This window comes from Homo sapiens, chromosome 4, assembly GCF_000001405.40.
Source record: "Homo sapiens chromosome 4, GRCh38.p14 Primary Assembly".
NCBI lineage: Eukaryota > Metazoa > Chordata > Mammalia > Primates > Hominidae > Homo > Homo sapiens.
The window spans coordinates 163917440-163941089 of record NC_000004.12 but is presented as its reverse complement, the minus strand read 5'-3'; the positions used below and the strand labels follow the sequence as shown (position 1 = coordinate 163941089).

The following is a 23650-nucleotide window of genomic DNA, read 5'->3' as shown; positions in this document are numbered from 1 at the left end:
GCATAAGACTTCTAAATTTAAGCAGGGTGCTATTTAATCCTTGTATTATTTTGTCTTTAGCTAGGTTGGAAACTCCGAGGAAGACAATATTGTACCTTATACCTCTATGTCTCCCCAAATTTACTACTATAATGCTTGACATAAAAAATAACAAACATTATGAAAACAAGTATTTATTGAGAGTTTACTCTGATCCAAACTTTATATGTTTATCTCATGTTATTCCTTTAGCAACATTTAGCAACATTGTGAAGTAGGAACTCTTATCACTCCTGTTTTCCAAATGAGGGAAAATCTTTTAAGAGATAATCAACCAAATGGATATATACTGTGTCCTTTTTAATTCTTGATTTATTTTTCCAATGCTGATTCATAAGTTCCATATTTAGTTTATAATTTTACTAAGACACACAAATATTTTATAAAATTAAAGAGAATCCCAGTAAACAGCTATGTGATTTGTGTCGTCTATGAACAGAGTACTTTTTGAGCTTTTGATGTTACACCTGATGCATTTCCCATACTGTGCAAAGATCCAATGGTGGACATAGAGGAAACACATATGAAACACACACACACAGAAACACACACACAATCTATTACAGTATTCATGTATTTAACTACCATATGCGTACATATTTATGTATAAGCAGGTATATCTTCTGCCTCTTTTTGGCATATTTATAGATATTTACAGAAACAGATAAATATATACATGTATATATCAACACCAGTGCAGTACAAATAGAATATTTAAATAAATACAACGGAAGACACAAATAATTTGCATGAACAGGTGGCTTGAACTCCTTTTCTTAGTCATTTGCAAACTGCCATTATATAATAGAACATCATAAAGTTAGTGGCTAAACAACAGAAATTTATTTCTTTGTTTTTTGGTCTGGAAATTTCAAATCAAGACACTAGTTGATTTGGTGTCTAGTAAGGGCACTCTTCCTCATTTGCAGATGGCCATCTTATCATTGTATTATCACATGGTGGAGAGTGGAGAGAGGAAGAAAATTATTTCCTGTTTCTTCTTAGAAGGGCACTAACTCCATTCATGAGGGTGTCACCCTTGTGACCTTATTATCTCCAAAAGTCCCACCTCCTAATACCATCACATTTAGAGGATTTAGGATTTCAACATATCAATTCTGGAGAGAAACAAACATTCAGTCCATAACAGTCCTATAACACCTTTCTATTCTGCATTGAATTCTCTAGTCAGTTCAAACATGTGGTATCATAAGCAGTTCCTTAGGATTAATAGTTCGGCATGTTATGCTGACATCAGCTGAAAAATGCTGTGTAATTAAAACCCCAACCACAAATGTCCCTGAAAAGCAGTGTCAAAAGGCCATCTTTCAATTGGGCAGAACTTGGAATAGTAGATATTGTTGGCATTTTGTCTGACTTAAGATACACCCAAAAATAAAGAGATAAACATATTTGTCATTAGTTGCTAACATTTGGTTTGATGGTCAGATATGTAGAAAAATATCAGAGTTGGTAAACTGATGGCAAGGAGCAATGGAGAGCTATGTGGATGAGCCTCTCAAAATGAGCATAGAGTGTGAAGAGTGATTATCACAGACCACCCACTACAGAGGACACTTTGAATAACAAGATAACAAGAAAATACGTTCTGTGGATACCAGTCAGACATTTCCCTAGCGAGCTAACATGCACAATTGGATTATCAAATAAGTCATCTGCATCAGAGATCTTATCCAGTATCAAGCTTTATTAAATAATTATCAAGGATACAGGAAGTCAAAAGGCTGAAGAATAACAGATGAGGTCTCTACATGAGGTTGTGGGATCAGCTCACATAGTGAGCACGTTTAAATTACAAAACACCTCTGTTTTATATCCCAGAGAGTTTCCCAACCGTGCCTGGAGCTGTGCCTCAAAGACTGAGAGTTCTATTTATTGTAAGTCATCTTTAGCCAGAAATATACTGCTCAGGGCATTTCAAATATAAAGTCTCTACCTACTAGCAAATATGATCAGTGTAATTTACCAGAGGGTTAGTAACAAAGGAGATTGCACCAGGTCATCTGCATTTTTTTCTTACCTTAAGTGCTGATGTGGTTTGGCTGTGTCCCACCCAAAATCTCATCTTGAATTGTAATAATCCCCACATGTCAAAGGCAGGACCAGGTGGAGATAATTGAATCATGGTGTAGGTTTCCCCTATTCTGTTCTCATGATACTGAGTGAGTTCTCACCAGATCTGATGGTTTTATTTATAAGGAGTTCCCTGCTTCCTGCTTCACTCTGCGCTTCTCCTTGCTGCCACAATATAAAGAAGGATGTTTTTGCTTCCCATTCCACCATGATTGTAAGTTTCCTGAGGCCTCCCCAGCTCTGTGAAACTGTGATTTAATTAAATCTCCTTCCTTTATAATTACACAGCCTGGGGTATTTCTTCATAACAGCATGAAACCCGACTAGTACAGGTGCATCCTTCAGGTTAAAGGAATAAGTGGATCTTTCTTTTCACCCAGCAACCCAGATAGTTGTTCAGTGTGCCAGGGTACAATGTGGCCATTGTGGCAGAGCTAGAGGCTACGTAATTAGCTCCACAGTGTGCACTTTTCCTTACCAATGAATATCTGGCTGCCACCACTACTGAATGCCTAACTCTTTTAAGAGCAGAGATCAGTACAAAACCCTCAAATGGCACCTTCCTAATGGGGGCCAGCCAGTCACCTCATTGCTGAGTGATTGAATGCCTTACATCAGGGAGGAGATAGTAATTTGCCATCATTGGATCGAGATTGTATTGTGGATATACATTTGCTTTTTGTGCCCCAAAGCTTTGTATTAGCACAAATATCTGTGGCCTTATTTACCTTCATTTTATTTCACATAACATTTCCTAAGACCAAGATCCTTATGTCACACTAAAAGAAGTGTGCCAAATGGGTTCATACTCAGAGAATTATCTGGTTTTATTCATGCACTTTATCACTGTAAAGCAGGTGGCCTGAGAGGATGGTGGAATGGTCTGTTGAAAACTTAATTCCAGTGCAATTTAGAGATCATCTCCTGTTTTTAAAAAAGATTTTATCTTATATAATGGAAAATATGTTTTGAGCCATTGACCAATATGTTCTGTTATGTGCCCTAGAGCCAAGATATATAGGTCTGGGAATCAAGGGGTGGAGGATGGAGTCACATCTTTCACTATTTTTCTTAATAATCCATTGAAAAATTTTTTGCTTTATTTCCTATAATTTAAACTCTGCTAGTTTCAATTTTTTACCTCCTAAGGAAAAAGTGCTTTCAGCAGAAGACACAATAATGCTTTTAGTGAATTATAAGTTGAAACAGCCACTTGGCCAATTTGTGCTTCTCTTGCCATTGAACCAACGGGCAAGTTATTGCACTGGTTGGCTTGATTGATCCTGATTACAAGGAAAAATTAGGTCACTACTCCAAATATGTCAGCAAACCAAAAAGATTACCTAGGATGCCTCCAAGTCCAACTGCAAAGATTAATGGAAAATTATATGTGTGTGCGTGTGTGTATGTGTGCATGCATGCATGTGTTATATATATGTATATATTTATATTTATATATGTTATACATTTATATATGTAAAACCACTGAGGATTTGAGGATTCAGATATCCTAGGAGTAAAGATTTGAGTTCATTCCTTTTTTCCAAGGACAAAAGACATATGACATTGATAATAAAATAAAGAAGTGAAAAATTCTACTGTAGCTTTTGTTATTAACTATAAAATAAAAACTCTACTCTGCATATTTTTATCATATATTTGGGTATGTGAGTATATATGTGTATGTATATGTTTGTATGTATATGTATGTATTGACTAATTTCTTTTTCTCTTCCCTCATTTCATTTATTATTTTATGTAAGGCTTGGTGGTGGTGGCTTACATTAGGATTTAGTCTTGAGGTTGCAGAGTATTCCAGTGGGACTGTAACTGAAATAGAGGACTACTGAACATCACTAGACAAGTATAAATTATGGTCAATTAGAGATGAATACGTGAGAGTTTAGCTTTTATACCACCCTTGTTAGGGAGAAGGTGAGAGTGATTTCATTTATACAGCTATACATTTAACTTGTTATATGGCAGCATAAAACTGGTATTGTTTTGAATGGAAGTTCAAGTACGTATACATGACCACCAAGGATGAACTGTGTCCCAAAGCCACTCTTATATACTCTTCTTGGAGAGGCTGAGCCTGAGGATCTGAGAACTACCTTCTCTTTTCAGCTGTTAGTTTTACCTAATTGGGGACACTGAGGAAAATGAAAAGGCAGGGAGAAAAATTTTGTTTATATCAACATCATTCTAGCAGATGGTGTTTCACACAATCAAACTGCAGTTGGTTTACATCTCAAGCTGGTATAGTCATTTCCAGAACCAGCCTTGATGTGCACACACAGAGATACCAAAAGCAGATGGGTAGTGCCTGCTCCCAGAGGCCTCAGTCCCAGGTCACAATGTCTAATCTCCACAAGCTTGAAGTACCATCATTAGCCAAGCATCACACCATCCTCAGAGATCTGAGCCTCAGCTCCTAGTGTGCTCCTCTCTGAATTTCTCAGGTACAAGAATTAGTCAAATATATTTGGGTTCTCAAGAGAAATAGAAGCAACAGTATATATACAGGCACACCTCATTTTGTTGAGGTTCACTTTTATTGTGTTTCACAATGCAATTTTGTTGTTTTTACACACTGAAGGTTTGTGGCAACAACCCTGTGTTGAGCAAGTCTATCTGCACTGTTTTTTCAATAGCATGTGCTCACTTCAAGTCTCTGTTACATTTTGGTAATCCTCACAATATTTCAAACTTTTTCATCATTATTATATTTGGTATGGTGATCTGTGATCAGTGATCTTTGATGTTACTGTTGGAGTTGTTTTGGGACACCCGGAATCATGCCTACATAAGACTGTTGTGTGCGTTCTGACTGCTCCATCGTCAGGCCCTTCCCCTGTCTCTCTCCCTGTCCTCGGACCTTCCTATTCTCTGATACACCACAAAACTAAAATTAGGCCAACTAATTACCATACGATAGCCACTAAGTGTTCAAGTGAAAGAAAAAGTCACACATTTCTCAATTTAAATCAAAGACTAGAAATAATTAAGCTTAGTGAGGAAGGCATGTTGCAAGTTGACATAGGCTGAAAGCTAAGCCTCTTGTACCAGTTAGCCAAGTTGTGAATGCAAATGTAAAGTTCTTAAAGGAAATTAAAGTTCTACTCCAGTGAATCCATGAATGATAAGAAAGCAAAACACCAGCATGGCACATGTATACATATGTAACTAACCTGCACAATGTGCACATGTACCCTAAAACTTAAAGTATAATAAAAAAAAAAAAAAAAAAAAAAGAAAGCAAGCAAAACAGCCTTGTTGTTGATATGGAGAAAGTTTTAGTGGTCTGGTTAGAAGATCAATTATCTACAACATTCTCTTAAGTCAAAGACTAATCAGAGCAAGGTCCCAATTCTCTTCAATTCTGTGAAGGCTGAGAGACTGAGGAAGCTGCAGAAGAAAGGATAGAATCTATCAGAGGCTGGTTTATGCGGTTTAAGGAAAGAAGCCATTTCCATAACATAAAGAGCAAGGTGAGGCAGCAAATGCTAATGGAGAAGCTTCAGCAAGTTATCCAGAAAATCTAGCTAAGATAATTAATTAAGGTGTCTACCTTTAAAAACAGATTTTCAATGTAGGTGAAAACATCCTTTTATTGGAAGATGTTACCACCTAGGTCTTTCATAGCTAGGGAAGATAAGTCAATGCCCGACTTCAAAGCTTCAAAAGACAGGCTGACTCTTCTGTTAGAGGATAATGCAGCTGGTAACTTTAAATTGAAGCCAATGCTCATTTACCATTTAGAAAATTGTATGACCCTTAAGAATTATGTTAAATCTACTCTGCTTGTACACTTTATATTAAGCAACAAATCCTAGATGACTCTGGAGCTCTGATGGAGATATACAAGGAGATGAATGTTGTTTGTATGTCTGTTAACACAACACCGATTCTGTTGTGTTGAGGTAATTTCAACTTTCAGGTATTATTTAAGAAACATAGTTTTTAAGGCTGTACTGTAGCTGCCATAGATAGTGATTCCTTTGATTGAATCTGGGCAAAATAAATTGAAAACCTCTGGAAAGGATTCATCATTGCAGATGTCATTAAGAATATTTGTGATTCAGGGGAGGAGATCAACATATCAACATTAACAGGAATTTAGTTAACTTCAGTTAGTCAACTTCAGTTCGGTCAAGTTCAGTTGACTAACTTGACTGAAGTTAGTCAACTTCAGTCCTAATAGATGACTTTGCATGGTTCAAGACTTCAGGAGAGGAAGTAACTACACATGTGGTGGAATTGGCAAGAGAACTAGAAGTAGAAGTACAGCCTGAAGATATGACTGAATTGTTACAATTTCATGATCACACTTGAACAGATGTGGAGTTGCTTCTTTTTTTTTTTTTTTTTTTTTTTTTTACTTAAAAAGAGTTTTTAGAGATGGAATCTTACTCTGTCACCCAGGCTGGAGTGCCATGGCATGATCATGGCTCACTGCGGCATTCAAATTTTGGGTTCAAGCAGTCCTCCCACCTCAGCCTCCTGAGTAGCTGGGACTACAGATGCATACCACCACACCTGGCTAATTAAAAAAAAAATTGCAGAGATGAAGCATTTCTATGTTGCCCAGGTTTGTCTGAAACTACTGGCCTCAAGCAATCCTCCTGCCTCAGCCAGGAGTTGCTTTCTTATGGATAAGCAAATAATGTAGTGGTTTTTTGTTGTTGTTGTTTATAAAATATAATTGTATTTTATGTTGCTCTGCTGTTACATAGGGCATATCATTTTCACAAGGCTTTTTTGGGACTATAGTCAATGATTAGCAGTGCACGGTAGTGGTCCAAATCTCTAAATAACAATACTAGACAAACTGTACACCCCACACATGTGCACATATCTGCATGGAAAAGTACTAAAGCTTTAGACTTGGACTTGTGTACTTTTATTTATTTCCCCTTTGCAGTGTATTAAGAAATGACATATACTTTAATTTCCCAAAAGCAATGCTTGTATTCTGGCAGCAACATGCTACTTGCATTACACAGTAAAGTGAATACCAGAACTACAAAGGCAGGAGGTGTAAGTGAATTTTTATTGGGAAGGGAGGTTGTCAACTTAAACAGCAGCAAATAAAGAGTGAATAAGGAAAGTCCCTGTTGCCACAGATATATATGACCTCCATAATATGTGATACAGGAGGCATTTCAATTTGTGACCTCCAGCCAGAAATGGCAAGGGCTTTTCCATTCAATTTAATACTTCTGGATTCCTACTAAAAAGGAATACATTAGGAGCATGGAAAAGTTGCTTATTGAAAGGAAACCCTGACGAGTATGGGAGGGAATGTAGAAATGGAGAAGTTGTGTGGAACACTCTTTAAATTGTAATTAACTACATTTTCATATCTTCACAGTAATACAAAACACAGTCACTTGCAGAACTGGTTCAGATTACTTAAATACCAGATACATTTTTAGTCCTCTACCTAAGTGTTTGGAAGTTGCTTATGTTTATATGAAATGAAGGTATTAATACTTTTCTACAGCAGTAACTACACACTAGGAAGGCCAAGACAAATCAAGGAATGAAGTTTTCCCAATGCTGCAGTGTGAAAAGACTGTAAACAGATGATTCCGTATACATAAATGGGTTTCTTTGCTATAGGAAATCCAAGTGGAATAAGGAATGGAGATATGTAAAAAGGTTTCTTGAAGGGAAGAAGGATGACACCCTGTCTGGATTTAGTTTCAGCCCCTTCTGCTGCATCACATTCTTCTCCTGCACTGTCTGAGGTCCATAGTGTTAGGTTGTCTCTAAGAAACTCCATAATGAGGGTGCTGTCTTTTGGATGAATCTTCATTCAGTGTATCAAGTTCTGCAATGGCCTCATCAAAAGCCGTTTTAGCCAGCGTGCAGGCAAGCTCTGGGTTATTAAGAATCTCATAGTAAAATACAGAAAAGTTAACCGCAAGCCCCAGGCAGATTGGATGTGTGGATTGTATCTCTTTCTTGCTTATATCAAATGCCTTTTGGTAAGCTCCTTGGGAATTATCTATCATTTGTTTTTGATCATTACCACATGCAGCTTCAGCAAAGTACTGGAAGTAATCACCCTTCATTTTCAGATAGAAGACCCCACTCTCTGGATTAGTTGCATTGGCTGTTAAATATTTATCCAACAATTCCAGGACCATGGTGCCGATCGATCTCAGCTCAGACTCCACTTTCTCCTGGTAGTCCTTAATCAGCTGCAACTTCTTGTCGGAGGTGTCTGTCTTCTGCTCGATGTTTAAGATGACCCTGCAGGTGGACCTGCAGCCCCCAACCGCACTCATGTAGGCCACGGAAAGCAGGTTGCACTCCTCATAGGACAGCTCGGTGCCCTGCTTGGTCATGGCCTTCATGCAGGTACCCATGTCATCATAGCACTCAGCTAGCTTAGCCTTCTGGATCAGCTCCATTTTCTCTATGGCAGGAGTCAGGGTGAAAGTAGTTTGTTGAGATGGAATTTGCTCCTGGTGAACATGCTGTGAGCATTGTTGAAATGACAACAAAGGATTTAGAATATTACATAAACTTAGTTGATAAAGCAGCAGCAGGGTTTGAAAGGATTTACTCCAGTTTTGAAAAACATTCTACTGTGGGTAAAATGCTATCAAATAGTTTAGCATGCTATAGTGAAATATTTTGTGAAAGAAAGAGTCAGTCAATGTGGCAAATCTCATTGTCTTATTTCAAGTAATTGGCACATACACCCAATCTTTGGCAAACACCATCATGGTCAGTCAACAGCCATCAAAATCAAGGCAAGAGCCCTTACCAGCAAAAAGATCATGACTCATTGAAAGATAAGGCAATCATTAGCTTTTTTTTTTTCTTTTTAGCAATAAGGTTTTTTTTAATTAAATTACGTACATTGTTTTGTTGATATAATGCCTATTGCACTTAATAGACTACAAGATAGTATAAACATAACTTTTATATGCATTGGGAAACAAAACAAAATGTGACTCACTTTATTGCAATATTAGCTTTATTGTTATGGCCTGGAACTGAACTCAAAATATCTCCATGCTGTGCCTTTATATACAGAAAGATTTATTTCAAGGAATTCGCTGATACCATTATGGAGATTTGGTAAATCCAAAATTGATGAGGTAGGCCAGTGTGCTGTAGACTGAGGGAGAGGTTTTAGTTCAGTTTGCAAGTGTGTCTTCTTGGAAGAATTCTTTTTCAGGAAACATCTGTCATTGGTGTATTTAAGCCTTCAACTGATTGGATAAACCCCACCCCCACATTAGGAAAGCAATCTGTTATATTCACCATTGTTTTAGTCTTTTGGGTTGCTCTAACAAATACCATAGCCTGGTAGCTTATAAACAACGGAAATGTATTTCTTTCTGGAAGCTGAGAAGTCCAAGATTTAGGGACTAGTATATTCAGTGTTTGATGAGGCCCCATTTTCTCAAAGACAACCATATTCTCAGTGTAACTTCTCGTGGTGGAAGGGGCAAACACGCCTCCTGAGGCCTCCTTTATGAAGGCACTAATCCCATTCATCAGGGCTCTACCCTCATGATCTAAATACCTTCCAAAAAGCCCCACATACTAATGTCATCACTTTGGGGGTTAACACTTTGAACATTTGAATTTTGGGGAGATACATGCATTCAATTACAGCACCAATTTAAATGTTAATATTACCCAAAAAACACTTAGTCAGCTCAGGCTGCCATAATAAAAATACCATAGACAGGGTGACTTAAACAACAGAAATTTATTTTCTCACAGTTCTGGAGGCTAGAAGTCCAAGATTGAGGTTCCATCCAATGCAGTTTCTGGTGAGGGTTGTCTTCCTTGCTTGCACGTATCAGCCTTCTTGCTGTGTCCTCAAGTAGTGAGACAAAGAGATTTCTCTTTTCTTCTTCTTAGAAAGCCAGCAAACTTATGGGATTAGAGCCTCACTTTTTTGACCTCATTTAACCTTTGTTACCTCCTAAAGTCCCCATCTCTAGATAGTGTCACATTTGGGGTTCAGGCTTCCACATATGAATTTGAGGGCATGGCACAATTTAATTCACAGCATTCTGCACCTGCCACCCCCCAAAATATGTTACATCCCTATTTCATGCAAAGTACATTCATTTCATCCAAATAGCCCCAAAAGTCTTAACTTATTCAGCATCAACTTTAAAGTCAAGTCTCATCTTAAAAAATCATCAAAATTATCAAGATTATCAAAAATATCATCTAAATCATACAAGGATGAGTCACAGCGCTCTTTGACAATGTACCTAGTGAACCAAAACCTGTGATTTATCTAAGGCAAAATTCCTCTCCAGCTATAAACTTGTAAAAACAGACTCTGTGTTTTCAAAATATGATGGTGGAACAGGCATTGGATAGACAAACACTTCCAGAATGTTTAGAATGAAGTTTGACTGAATATCTGGGCATTATGACCCAGCCAAAGTGAGGCATAAAATTAATCATCACACCAGAAAAAAAAAAAAAAAACACCATTTTCAAAGGCCCAAACCACAAGTCCTTTTTCCAAACTCCTAAGGTAACATCCTCACCTGGACCTCATGCCTTCCCCAAAGGTCTGAGTCCCAACTCTCCTGAGGTCCTCTGTTCAATTTCTGAGGTATCAGCAATGATCTGTTGGTTCCTATTCCCCAAAGGGGTTTAATTCTAGGTCTCTGGTGCCCTCCTCTGAACTTCTAAGGTTTGAAAATATCAGTGTCTTTATTTTTGTTTTCCCACCCCAAGAAATGAGGGTTGATTCTTACAGTTACTGTCTAACTTAGTGTTCCCTGATTGCTTTTCCATTTCTGTATACCTTAAAAATACCCCATGTTAAATTCTCCATATTAAAATACTTGACAAAATTTCCATTTTATCTATTAATTCATGGCTGGTATGCCATAATCCTAGTTTGCCTGAGACAACAAATTAGCTATATATAATATAGTATATATAATATATTTATATATAATATATTATATATATATTATATATATTATATATATTATATATAATATATATAATATAAATATATAATATATTATATATATTATATATATTTCCAATATGTTTTTTATAGTGCCCTCTTTCTTTCACAAAAGTGTCTTAGTTAAACAATATATTATATTACCATGCTAGAAACAACAAACCATGCACTAGAAATCAGAATATATGGGATCTAGTCCTGCCCTGCAAAAAATGTCATGTGGCCTGGAACAAATCACTTAACCTGAGGAGTAGATGGTTATTTCTACCACATATTATAGCTCCCAAACTCTGATTTCATCGTCTGTGATACTGTCATACAATTTACCTACATTTGCTTAAATGTGTTATCATTGACATATTGATATATATACCTGGTTAGCATTAGAAGGTGCCACAGTTGGCACGATTTTTAAGCAGTGTTCTGATGAAGGGAAAAAAAATACTTAATTGGCAAAAATGAACTGTAAGAGCTTTTCTGAAAAAATTGTTAAGTCAATCTGATCACTATGGCATCAGAATTATTGCAGCAGAAAAGGATAAATATATATGATAATTTTGAGTACATACAACTGTAGATAAAAATTAGTAGCTAACCTTCATTGATTTTTTTGTTCTCTGTACAGGCACTGCTTTAAGTGCTTTGCCTATAATAATTCTATGAGGCAGCCATTATTATTGCTGCCATTTTACTGTTGAAAGACTTAGGAGGGTAAAGTAATTTGTTTGAATATGTGCAGCAAGGAAGCAGTGATCCTAAGAAATGTACCTAGTTGTCTAATTTCATAACTTCTCTACCATAATTTTAAATATCAAGATTAATGTAGCTGGATATAGAAGAAATAAAGTTACAATGAAAGTTTGATGAGAGAAAGTATCCTACTTAAGCTCTATTAAAATATTTGGATGATTCTTTTTCAGAATTATTTGTGCCTATTTTAAATCTCAAATATGTTTTGGTATAAACAATATGTTATTTTTTCTCTCTATTCAAAAGTTACAAAGCTTCTTAAATAGAAGCACATATAGGTCTCTTATTTTTTCCCCTTTGTCCCATTGGTATCTTGAGGACAATTACTACACTATAGAAAACAATAGAACAGTGAGATTTCAAAAGTTATATTAAGAAAATAATATATTTTAATTTCATTGTGGTTAAAAATTTAAAACCCAGTGAAAAGAAATTAAAAAGTTAGTCCTTAAAGTAGATTTTTACCACTCTCAGCATGTCCAATTTTCCTTGATTGTTACTTTACAAATTACTTTTTTATATTTAGTCTTTATAATATTGATACATAAATTAAATCAGAATTTTAACGTTTTGTTCAAAGGCTGCTGCAAACTTGATTGAAATGCCATTTCTATCCAGACTTTTCAATCAAAAAAGAATATAGCAACTCACCTTTCTGTCATTGTGATAATGCAGTTAAGATTGCCTCAAGTCAATTACATTCTGTCTTTGTCCTAGATTCTTCATCCATAAAGTGCAAGTCATAATACCAACTACCCTAGAGTTATAATAATTGTAAAGTCCACCTAAATGCCAAAAAGAGTCCTCTGCCACCACGCCTAGCTCTTCTTCCCTATCCATTGTCTGATTGCCTGTCCTCTTGCACTTGTTGTTCTGCTTTATCTTACATTTTTGTTTTGTCTAGCTACTGGGAGGGTAGCATCTTCAATCAAAGGCACTATGTTGATGTGTTGTTTTATTTTAATCCCTTTGGCCCAGCAGAATAATTGGCATATAGATAATACTAAGTAAATATTTATGAATAGAAAGAGTAAATCAGTGAAAAAAGAATGAGTGAGTGAAGTTGACAAAGGCACTTTCTTTCCATTTTTTCTACTGTAGAGAATTACATGAAAGAATTACATAGAGAATTTCTCAAGAGCTTGAACATCTAATTGAAGCCTTTCTAACATGAGTAAACTATATATATACCCCATTCAACATCAAATGCCTAATTCAGAAGTGGGCAATCATTAAAAAAAGAGAACTTGGATAACAAATAACAGAAAGAAAATGTACAAACTTCATTCCTTCATTTATTATACTTCATTTGGAAGAGAGAAAAAATTTTAAATCTTTATACAAAGATCCCCTTGCTCATGAAGCTCCGCTTGTGTGAGTGTACATGTTAAATATTCAAACGGTATGCTAATTTTAAAATTAGGCTTGATCACATCTATCATCTTAGAATTTGTATAAAATGGATACACATTAAACCCTGGGTGCATTTTACATTTTACCAAGAGTCCATAGACATTCTATCTTTCTTTATTGAGGACAGTTTCTGTAGCATTTGTTTTAACTGTGTATATAGTTTACTCTAAAATTACTCTGCAAGCTAACCAGGCAACCTGTTTCATTTCAGTGCTGGAAAAGTTATTTCTTGAATTTAACAAGTTTAAAATGAATATCAGAATCAAGAATTCATACATAAAAACCTCCAATGCACTGAAAATATAACGGCAGCACCTCTATGACTTAAAATTTTCATAACTTCATTGTTATAAAACAGCCCTTTCCCCCTTTTTTCCTCACATGAAAGTGTTTGTTTGCTGAATATAATATGCAAAATTCCCACGTTAAATTTTAGTTTCAATGGATGTAACTGTTTTTGCCAGTTCCTTACAAGGATAGTGCCAGCAGTTTATTTAAAATTGAAACTCTTTCAGCTGCAAGACCAGAATTATGAATCTTGTTAGGCTTGTCTTATTTGTAGTCATCTGAAATACAAATCTAACTAGTAGTAGGAATGACATAGTCTAAGAAGGGAACACTAATCACATCAAGTTGCGCTTTTCCATCTTACATGTCAAAAGTGTGAAGCCTCATTGTAAAAAAGAAAGAAAATACAAACATTTAAGTCTGTCTCAAATACAACAAAATTGTGAGATTTGAAATATTTTTCCCAAATCAAATTTTTTATCTAAATTTGGAAGTGATTGGAAGTGTATGTAGCATTTTGATAGCTTAAAATTAGCATTGGTTATACCACAAAATAATAAAAACTAGTATTTTTAGTTCTATTAATATTTAGCTGTTCTATGACATATGCATTCTATTCTAGAATTTTGTTTTTTTTAATTTTGCTAGCACTCTCTGAATTAATAAAGTTGACTATGTTCCTTGGGAGACATATTCATGGATTGTCATAGTTTATATTGATACCTGCCCAAATTGTGGATTAGAAATAGTAATCCATTCCTCTTTTTCTTTAAAAACTCTTTAAAATATAAATGTCTTAGTATCAGAGAAATGCAAACTAAATCTCAAATGAGTTTCTACTAGTAATACATATACCAAAATATATGACATTTTTAAAATTACTGATATTTCTAAGTATTTTTAAGGATGTAGAGCAACTGGAATTCTCATATGGTATGTTGGGAATGTAAATTGATAAAACCATTTTGGAGAAGGATTAGACATAATTACTAAATCTGAATCAATGCCTTTTGCCAGAAATTCCATTACTATGTATTGGCCCAACAGTTAAGAGTATATGTTCACCAAAAGTTCTATACAAGAATCTTCCTAGCAGCAATATTAGTCATGTTCTGTTACTGAAAAAAAATCCAAATGTCCAATAACAGTTAATGGATATATATAATATAGTATAGTCATATAATGCAGAAAGTTTTTGAAAAACTCCAACTGACTGCAAAAATGTGGATGAATCTTACAGTACATTAAGTGAAAGCAGCCAGTCACTAACATCTACATAATATATGATTTCATTTATATGAAGTTCAAAAAACAGCCAAAACTAGCCTATGGTTTTCTGAAGTCAGAATAATGGCTGCCTTTGTGGGACAAAGGAGGTTGTTAACTGGATGTTCTGCATTTTGACTTAGATGGTAATTATATGCTGATTTGTTATATGTAAGAAGGCATATACATTTAAGATTTTTCCCTTCATATATGTAATACCTTAATTTAAAAGTATTAAAATATAGTTATATATAACTTAGTTACTTGCATACTGAAATCAGAAGAAAGTAAAAAACAAAAACCTCAGAATGTTTTGCAACTAAATACTTCCTGGAAGGGGAGAAACTTTGGACAAGTATTTATAAATTTTAATTATTAACTTTCATTTTTTATACCAGAATTTTTTCTTTATTAACAGGATGCATATATTATGTCAAATTTTCTGTCCACATATTTTAAGAGTAAGTAGTATGTTATTAACTAATAATTCAGCTACACCACCCAAAATGAGCAGTTTCTCTAAAGAGATTGGGTTCAGTAAAGGTCAGTCCTACTTCAATTTCAGTCTGGCCCTTCTCATTCTTATGTTCTACTTAAATATTTATCTTCTATTTTCGTACCAAAATTATTAGATGTTTCTTAGTTTACATTAAGTTTCTTTTAACTGGTAACACGTGAGGATTTTCATAGACAATTTTTTCTTTTGAACAAAATTGTCAATATGTCTTCCTTGATTTAAGTATCATTCATTTGTGTTGAATACAAGTAGTAATGTAACAATGGGTTGATTTAAAAGAATTATTTCCATTGTTAGATAACTATTGCATAACAGTAATTAAAGCTAGAGACACTAAGTAGAGAGCATTTCCACTTGGGAGTACATAGTACATTCAGGTATTGAGTTGGGATGTCTGAGGAATGGACCATTTTATAAAGTGAGGTAAACTTGTGACTCTTGAGTCCCAAACAAATACTGCATATCTGGGGTTCTACTCTGAATGGCTTCGGGTATGAATAAAACCTTATTGTTTTTTTCTTATTAATCTTTTCCTTCCCTCTCTTGAAAATAACTAGTATGGCAAAAAATATTTGCAGATAAATAGAAAAACAAATTTCAAAAATGCCAGCGTTTGGCCAACCTCACTTCCTGTAACAAGGTCTATAAGAAGTTTATCAGTGGTTACAGTTTTTCTTAAGGGGACCAAATTCAAAACCATTGGAAATCAACAGTTACTTTGGGACATTAAAAATCTATTTTAAACTACAGGTTCTGCAGTTTTGCTCATGAGAAAAGCCACTCTGATGTTATTTTATTCCTGTATGCATAGGGCTGGATCAAAGATAAATTGGTTCATGGAAATGGATTATCTATACAAATAAAGTTTGTATAATCATTTACCATGTTGCTGCTTATTTTTCTTAATATTATAATTATTAATTATAAACAATAGGAAAGAGAGACAGTAGAGCAAATTTGGCGAAGAGCTTGGACTTTGGATTAAACCTTTCTAGGCTCAATATCCAGCTTTGGTATCCACTAGTTGTGCACCCTTGATTAAATTTCTTATCCTCTCTATCCCTATTTTCTCATCTGCAGTATTTACACCCACCTCATACTATTGTCAACATGATCAAATGAGTAAGGTCATTTATGTTTGTAAGGTCATAAGATAAATTCTTGTCACTATACATATTTTTTAATAAAATCGCAAATTTGGAAAGAAAGTAAAAGTGAAAATCACCTGCAGCTCAACCACTGACATAGCCTTTACCTTTGTTACTATATTCTTCTTTTTCACTGTTCCTTGTTCTATAAGACTTGTATGCCCATGAACCTGATGTATTATGCCACACTTTCTGAGGTGTTTTGTCCACATTTTACATGCAAGTCTGCCTCTTTTCCTTAGCTCATGATTTTTCTTCACTTGTAAAGTCTGTTCTTCTCTTCTTCACATGTCAAAAGTCCAGCCAGCCTTGACAACTTAGCTCAAATGTATTGACTCCTTTGATTACTTTCTAAAAGAGGATCTTAATTTTTTCCTCCTCTGAAATTGCAAAGCATGCTGTGCTTTTGCAGCATTAAGTAATTTTCCTCTGTGTCAACAGCATGAATATGGCACTTCATCTCCTAGTCTTTGGAAATGTTGTGCAAACCTTTCTACACTCCATGCATCAAGCACAGTTCTTTGCATAGATTAATGAATGCTCAATTTAAATACATTTTAACACAAAATACATTGATCTTAAAATCAGATATTCTAAAAATGTTTATTGGCAGGCCAAAATAGTCATGATACAATGGTAGATGATATAAAACCATAAGCAATATGATTATAATTTTTAAAAATAAAGTATCCATTTATTTTTTATCTATCTATCATCACCTATCACAAAATGACTGAAAAGTAACTTCCTAGATGTTGACAGTATTTATGTCTGCATTGTAAGATGCGGGTGATTTAAATTTTCTTTTACTTTTTTCTATTTTTTTTTTTTTTTACAATTCTATCACCTTCAAAATCATGAAGACTTAATATTGTAGCATAAATGTATATATTAAATACAATCACTTTAGCCTAGAAATATAAGAAATGCAACTGCCATCTTTGAAGAGTTTAATTTTATATTAGATAGATTTACTTTCCTGCTTACAGCATATTGATCTTAGGCTCACTGGAGTGAGATAGCATATAAGATAGTATCCTTCTTCCTTGCTTATCCTAAGTATCATAACTAGCCTGTAATAAAAACTGTAATGCTCAGCTTGGGCAATTTTTCATAAGAAATCTTAAAAGAACTACTTTATATTTTCCATACAGAACTCTTAATTACAGAAAACGAAGTTTATTTTTAACTTGCTGTTAACATGTAGAAAGGAAAATCCTGTAGAGAGAAATGAAGAAATACTTACAGGGAACTGAAAAAGAAGGTGGTGATACTCATCTTCAGAATTATTTTTAATGATTCATTTTGAAAATGGATTTCAGAGCAGTACATATATAAGGTAATAATGCATAAATATTTTGATTTTTTGAAGGGAAAGTATTTGTCATTTCAGAAAGCAGTTAGAAGTGAGTTCCATTAATCTTTCAAAATGTATTCCCAAGGAATTACATAAAGTATTTTTTACCTGTGAAGTTTAGCAACCCTGGATCACCGTAAGTGTGCTCTTCAAACACATATTTTAACAACTTTTTCCAACAGGACTTTTTTCAAGCCTTGTGAATGTTATACATGCCTGACATTTGTTCATTTAGAGAACTCTAATTCTTTGACAATTTTTTCTCTATCTCTATAGCTTTGCTTAGGATAAAATTTTCTTTTGATTACTTGATTGAGCTGAATTTTACTTTATTGGTGATTCTTTTTTCTAAATTTTTAAAAAATAGCTCTAAAATTTTTGGAAGAAAAATGCATTTGATTTTTTATGTATCCATTGAAAGAAACAACTCTTTATTAATCAAATGGAAATAAGGGAGTTGTTTGTTCAGTGAAGATCTATTGATGTGTGTCATTTAGCATTTAAGGGAGAATTAGTTGCTTTTAGTGAACTTGCTTTATTTAGCTAAAATATCTAATGTAGCTATGAAAATACATTAGATAGACACATTTGAAATTCAAATGATATAAAAGCAAACACTACTAATTCAACACCTAAGTAATCAAATTGCTCACAGAATTGTAAATTACAATAGCTGTATGTGAGTAACAGATGGATGAATTAAATGTGTTCAGCAGCCTTTCTGTATGTTACAGGAAGCCTGACTGCCAGAGATATTTTGGTAGAGTGCAACAGGCCTATGTGACTCACTGTACAATAGGCAAAGGAAAGTTATTTCCTGTTTAGTACAGAAAATTGATCTAACATGAAAAACCTCAACGATATTGATTTTTTTATTATTATTATACTTTAAGTTCTAGGGTACATGTGCACAACGTGCAGGTTAGTTACATATGTATACATGTACCATGCTGGTGTGCTGCACCCATCACCTCGTCATTTAACATTAGGTATATCTCCCAATGCTATCCCTCCCCACTCCCCCCACCCCACAACAGGCCCCGGCGTGTGATGCTCCCCCCCGCATCCATGTGTTCCCATTGTTCAATTCCCACCTATGAGTGAGGACATGCGGTGTTTGGTTTTCTGTTCCTGTGTTTGCTGAGAATGATGGTTTCCAGCTTCATCCATGTCCCTACAAAGGACATGTACTCATCATTTTTTATGGCTCCATAGTATTTAATGGTGTGTATGTGCCACATTTTCTTAATCCAGTCTATCATTGTTGGACATTTGGGTTGGTTCCAAGTTTTTGCTATTGTGAATAGTGCCGCAATAAACATATGTGTGCATGTGTCTTTATAGCAGCATGATTTATAATCCTTTGGGTATATTTTTTTAATACTGTATAGAGGTACAAAATACCTTTGCCAATTTCCAAGATTCCTGAGAATTTTTCCCAACTTCAAAGTCTATTAACTAACTCATAATCATAAAAGAAACAACACTTTTTCATCCAAAAATTTAATTCTTGATTTCCTGATAATTAAACAGTTCTAATTAATCATAAATTGATTTCTTTTTATGATATCACCTTTATCATAGCCATTTTAAATCCAACACAGCTGTAACAATGTGAGAAAAAAATATATAACCAACGAAGAATTCCTAAAGTATGTGTGTACTATTGCTATCTTACTAGAAATTATTTTATTGTCTTACTGTACTCTCTTCAAGTTTTGATTCATAGTAGTAGTCAAATTGTTTATGAACACCAAAGTCCACAATAATTTTTTAATTTCTTAGAGTCTATGACACATTACCATTGGATTAAAGGCAAACATGTAATATGAATATAAGCTTCTAGATATACCTTCTTTTTTTTGAAGTGATGATTTAAATGATTCCTGACATAGGCTCATAAAAATCGAAGTATGATATCCTGAGAAGATTTTTAGTCCTATCTTTAGGCACGATTAAAAACTCCAAATTAATGGAAGTTTCCTCTGTTTCCAAACATCTACAAGGGAATTAGATCCTATAACAAATTGATAGCACTGTGTGTGTTTAAGAAAGAACATTTCCATCAGGCTATCTTTACTTCTTCTCATATGAGTTTCTTATCTGATATTTTACACTTATTTAGCCTTAGTTTGCTCTCTATAGAAACACAGACATTTGGTATCAGTTTCTTTGGAAAAACATGCTTTGATATAATTCAATTTGAACCTGCTATATCTCTCAAATTGTACGTTTTTCCAAATTTTACATTGCTAAAGCTTTACAAGTTTTATTTTCTGAATTGTAGCCAGTTTGGCTACAATCTTTTGCTTGAATGCTTTTTACTTTTTTCTGAGTTTCTGTTTGTAAGATGTTCTTACATTGTTCAGATTACAGTACTTAAAATAGTTAGGTTCTGGAAATTCTAAAACATAGAGACATAGTTATTTTTCAGATTTATTTTAGCAAAAAGATTCAATAACTGATTTCACTTAATATATTCCAAAATTTCTATTAAAATACAAAATTATAGCAAAAATGTTTCCCAGCTCTTGGCCCATCTGTCTCTGTCAGTCCATCCTGTGGGGGCAGGGAATGCAGGTTGAGCTCAGAGGGCAGGATCCCAGAGCATACTGAGAGCATAGCGCACAGGAGTTCTCCCTGGACCAAAGAGGAACACCAGGGCTATAGTAGCATAGGGTCAGCAGTCTGTCTCCAGGGAAGCTGTCTAGGGCATAACCTCATTCTTCAGAAACTGGCAAAGGCTGGAGTAAGTACAGCAAAGTAAAGCAGGCTTTAGAAGGCTAACATGTCGTTGAAGGTGAAAACAAAGCATAATACTGATAAGAAAAACTACAAGGTATCAGCATCAATCGATGGCAATACCAAGTCTAGCATCTTTGACCAACCAAGAGAGTTTTATACAATTAATTCTTGCAAGAAGGTGAACAATTTCATGGTTATCTGGGTTCTTACACATTAACAATATTAAGTCTATGTTTCCAGCTGGAATAGGGGATTTATGGTGTTTATGGTGGGGAACGAAAGCAGAGCTTGACCTCAGATCATTTCTAACTGTACCACTTACCATTTCATAAATGGCCAGGAAGCCACTAAGTGCTTCTATTCTTTGAATATCATTTCTGAGTCAAATCCTACATAGGACATTTACACGTGGTTACCTAATTCTAAATTAATTATTCTAATAGTCTTTCTAAGACACCCAGGAAATATTACATATCTTTCTCATTTTAATGTAAAGAAATGCAATCAAGAAGACTTATCACCTACCAAGATTACACTCTAATGAGGAGGAGGAGCAAGATTCAAATTGTATTCTATTCTTTTTATTTATGAATAGGATGCAGGACCTATACTTTCTTGTAGAATGGTAGATCTAATGTTGACCACTTATGACTAAAATAGAAAAATGCTATTAAAACAAAAGTGTTCTTAAGACATAGTGCTGAAATACGTTTGTTAGTCCAAGATACTGTTAAAATATCTCTGGATATTTTGAATTATTAAAACATTTTCCTAACCTCTTTTGAAAAGTGATACATTGAGATAACAGAGTTTGTACTCCTATTATGTACAATTCATTAATGTGAGCTACATAATTGGGTGTAATGATAGGAAAAATGGAAGTGCTTTAAAATGTATCTTTTAAAATTCTTAAAATTTTTACTCTTTGCAACTATAATATAAATATTAATTTCACAAACAAGGGGAAATACAGTAATATAGAGAGAAAGAAAAAATACACATAAACTCTATCAATGCAGGACATTGTAATTCTTATGTCCTTTGTAATTATATAGATACAATTTTAACTTTTTGTTAACTTATAATTTTCAGTGCAATATTTCAAGTGTTCCATTTTTACTTCCCTTTTCATGAATTATTTATTTGTATTCATTTTCCTGTTGTGTTATTAATCTTTTTCATAATGAAAATAGTTACTCACTCTTATTGAAATACCTTTTCTCTTCTCCCAGCAACTCTAGCTAGGTTTAACATCTTTCTCCAATATTTTCACAATGAACTTTAAGCAAACAAAAAAATATTTTAACATTTGCTTTTCAAATAAAATTCAACTCATAATAACATTTGTTAGTCAATGGTACCTCTCTGATTCCTGCTTACAATCTTCAGAAGAAATCAATATTAATCATAGATTGTATGTCAATATAGTTTCATAAATAAAACTGAAACAGATTTTTGCTTTAGAAATGCTTATGGTCTTGTCAAAGTATTTCAAAGCATAGGAGAAAACCAAAAGCAAAGAAAAATTTACATTTCTCTTAGTTTCACATATATTCAGGCGACAGGAGGAAAAGAGTATCTATGAAGACCAAACTGATATAAAAATCCCTACATAAATTCCACACTGATGAGAAAACATATTAAATTGATGCAGAAACATTTTTGTTTTTCTCACAGAGCTTACATTGAAAAAATAATGCATTTTTTTTGCTCCTAACTGCTGATTTCTACCAATTATCAGTTAATGCATACATTAGCAAAAATAAACACGCAACAAATCAGTAAACAACTATATAAAAATAAATGACTTCAGGTATAAATTTATTTGTAATTATAACCTGAAAGAAGAAAACATTACACACATTTCAATGAACAGAAATGCTCGTAATTATAAAGTGAAGTTGCATGTTGCTGAAGATACACACTTTTTTTTCCTCATCACTTAATCTCTACTGCTGGATTTCCCCCACAATCAGATAGGCTACATTTCCACAATTAATGCTTCTTTTCAGATTTTGGCCTCTTACCTTAATACCTTTTAATCCAATGGAAATGCCTCCATATATTTCTCTCCCTAACTGTGTGTGCTCTTAGAGTAGACACCATAAAAGGTATAACACAGTCAAAGCATGAGAAGACAAACAACAGACGGGGAGAAAATATTCACAAAACATACATCTAATAAAGAATTTGCATCCAAAATATACAGGCAAGTCTTTGCAACTCAAAAGAAGAAAATGCAAAATCTATTAAAAATGGTCCATGATACAGAGCTCGGAAATAAGATCACATATCTACAACCATGTGATCTTCACAAGCCTAACAAAAACAAGCAATGGTGAAAGGATTCCCTATTTACTAAATGATGCTGGGAGAACTGGCTAGCCATATACAGAAAATTGAAAGTGGACCCCTTCCTTACATCTTATACAAAAATTAACTCAAAATGGATTAAAGTCTTAATTGTAAAACCCAAAACTATAAAACCCCTAGAAGAAAATATAGGCAATACCATTTAGGACATAGGCACAGGCAAAGATTTCATGATGAAATCACCAAAAGCAATTGCAACAAAAACTAAAATTGATCTAATTAAACCAAAGAGCTTCTGCACAGCAAAAGAAACTTTCATCAGAGCCAACAGGCAACCTAAAAAGTGGGAGAAAATTTTTGCAATTTATCCATCTGACAAAGGTCTAATATCTAGAATCTATAAGCGGTGAGAGAGAGAATATCAGGAAGAATAGCTAATGGATGCTGGGGTCTTAACACCTAGGTGACGGGTTGATCTGTGCAGCAAACCACCATGGCACATATTTAGCTATGTAACAAACCTGCACATCCTGCACATGTACCCTGGAACTTAAAAGTTGAAGAAAAAAAAGAAATTAAATTTAGTATCAGGAAAAAATTGGCCCAAAGACCTGAATAGACACCTCACCAAAGAAGATGGCAAATAAACATATGGAAAGATTCTCAACATTTTATGTGATTAAGGACTTGCAAATTAAAACAACTATGAGATGCCACTACACATCTATTAGAAAGGCCAAAATCTG

The 23650-nt window shown here is 34.3% G+C and overlaps 1 protein-coding gene and 1 pseudogene across 5 annotated transcripts in view; one reads left to right on the top strand and one right to left on the bottom strand.

Moving 5' to 3' along the window:
• Positions 1 to 23650, top strand: part of MARCHF1 (membrane associated ring-CH-type finger 1) — an 859722-nt gene that overhangs the window by 442930 nt on the left and 393142 nt on the right. The window lies entirely within an intron of this gene.
• On the bottom strand, positions 7649 to 8570 carry YWHAQP4 (YWHAQ pseudogene 4; annotated as a pseudogene).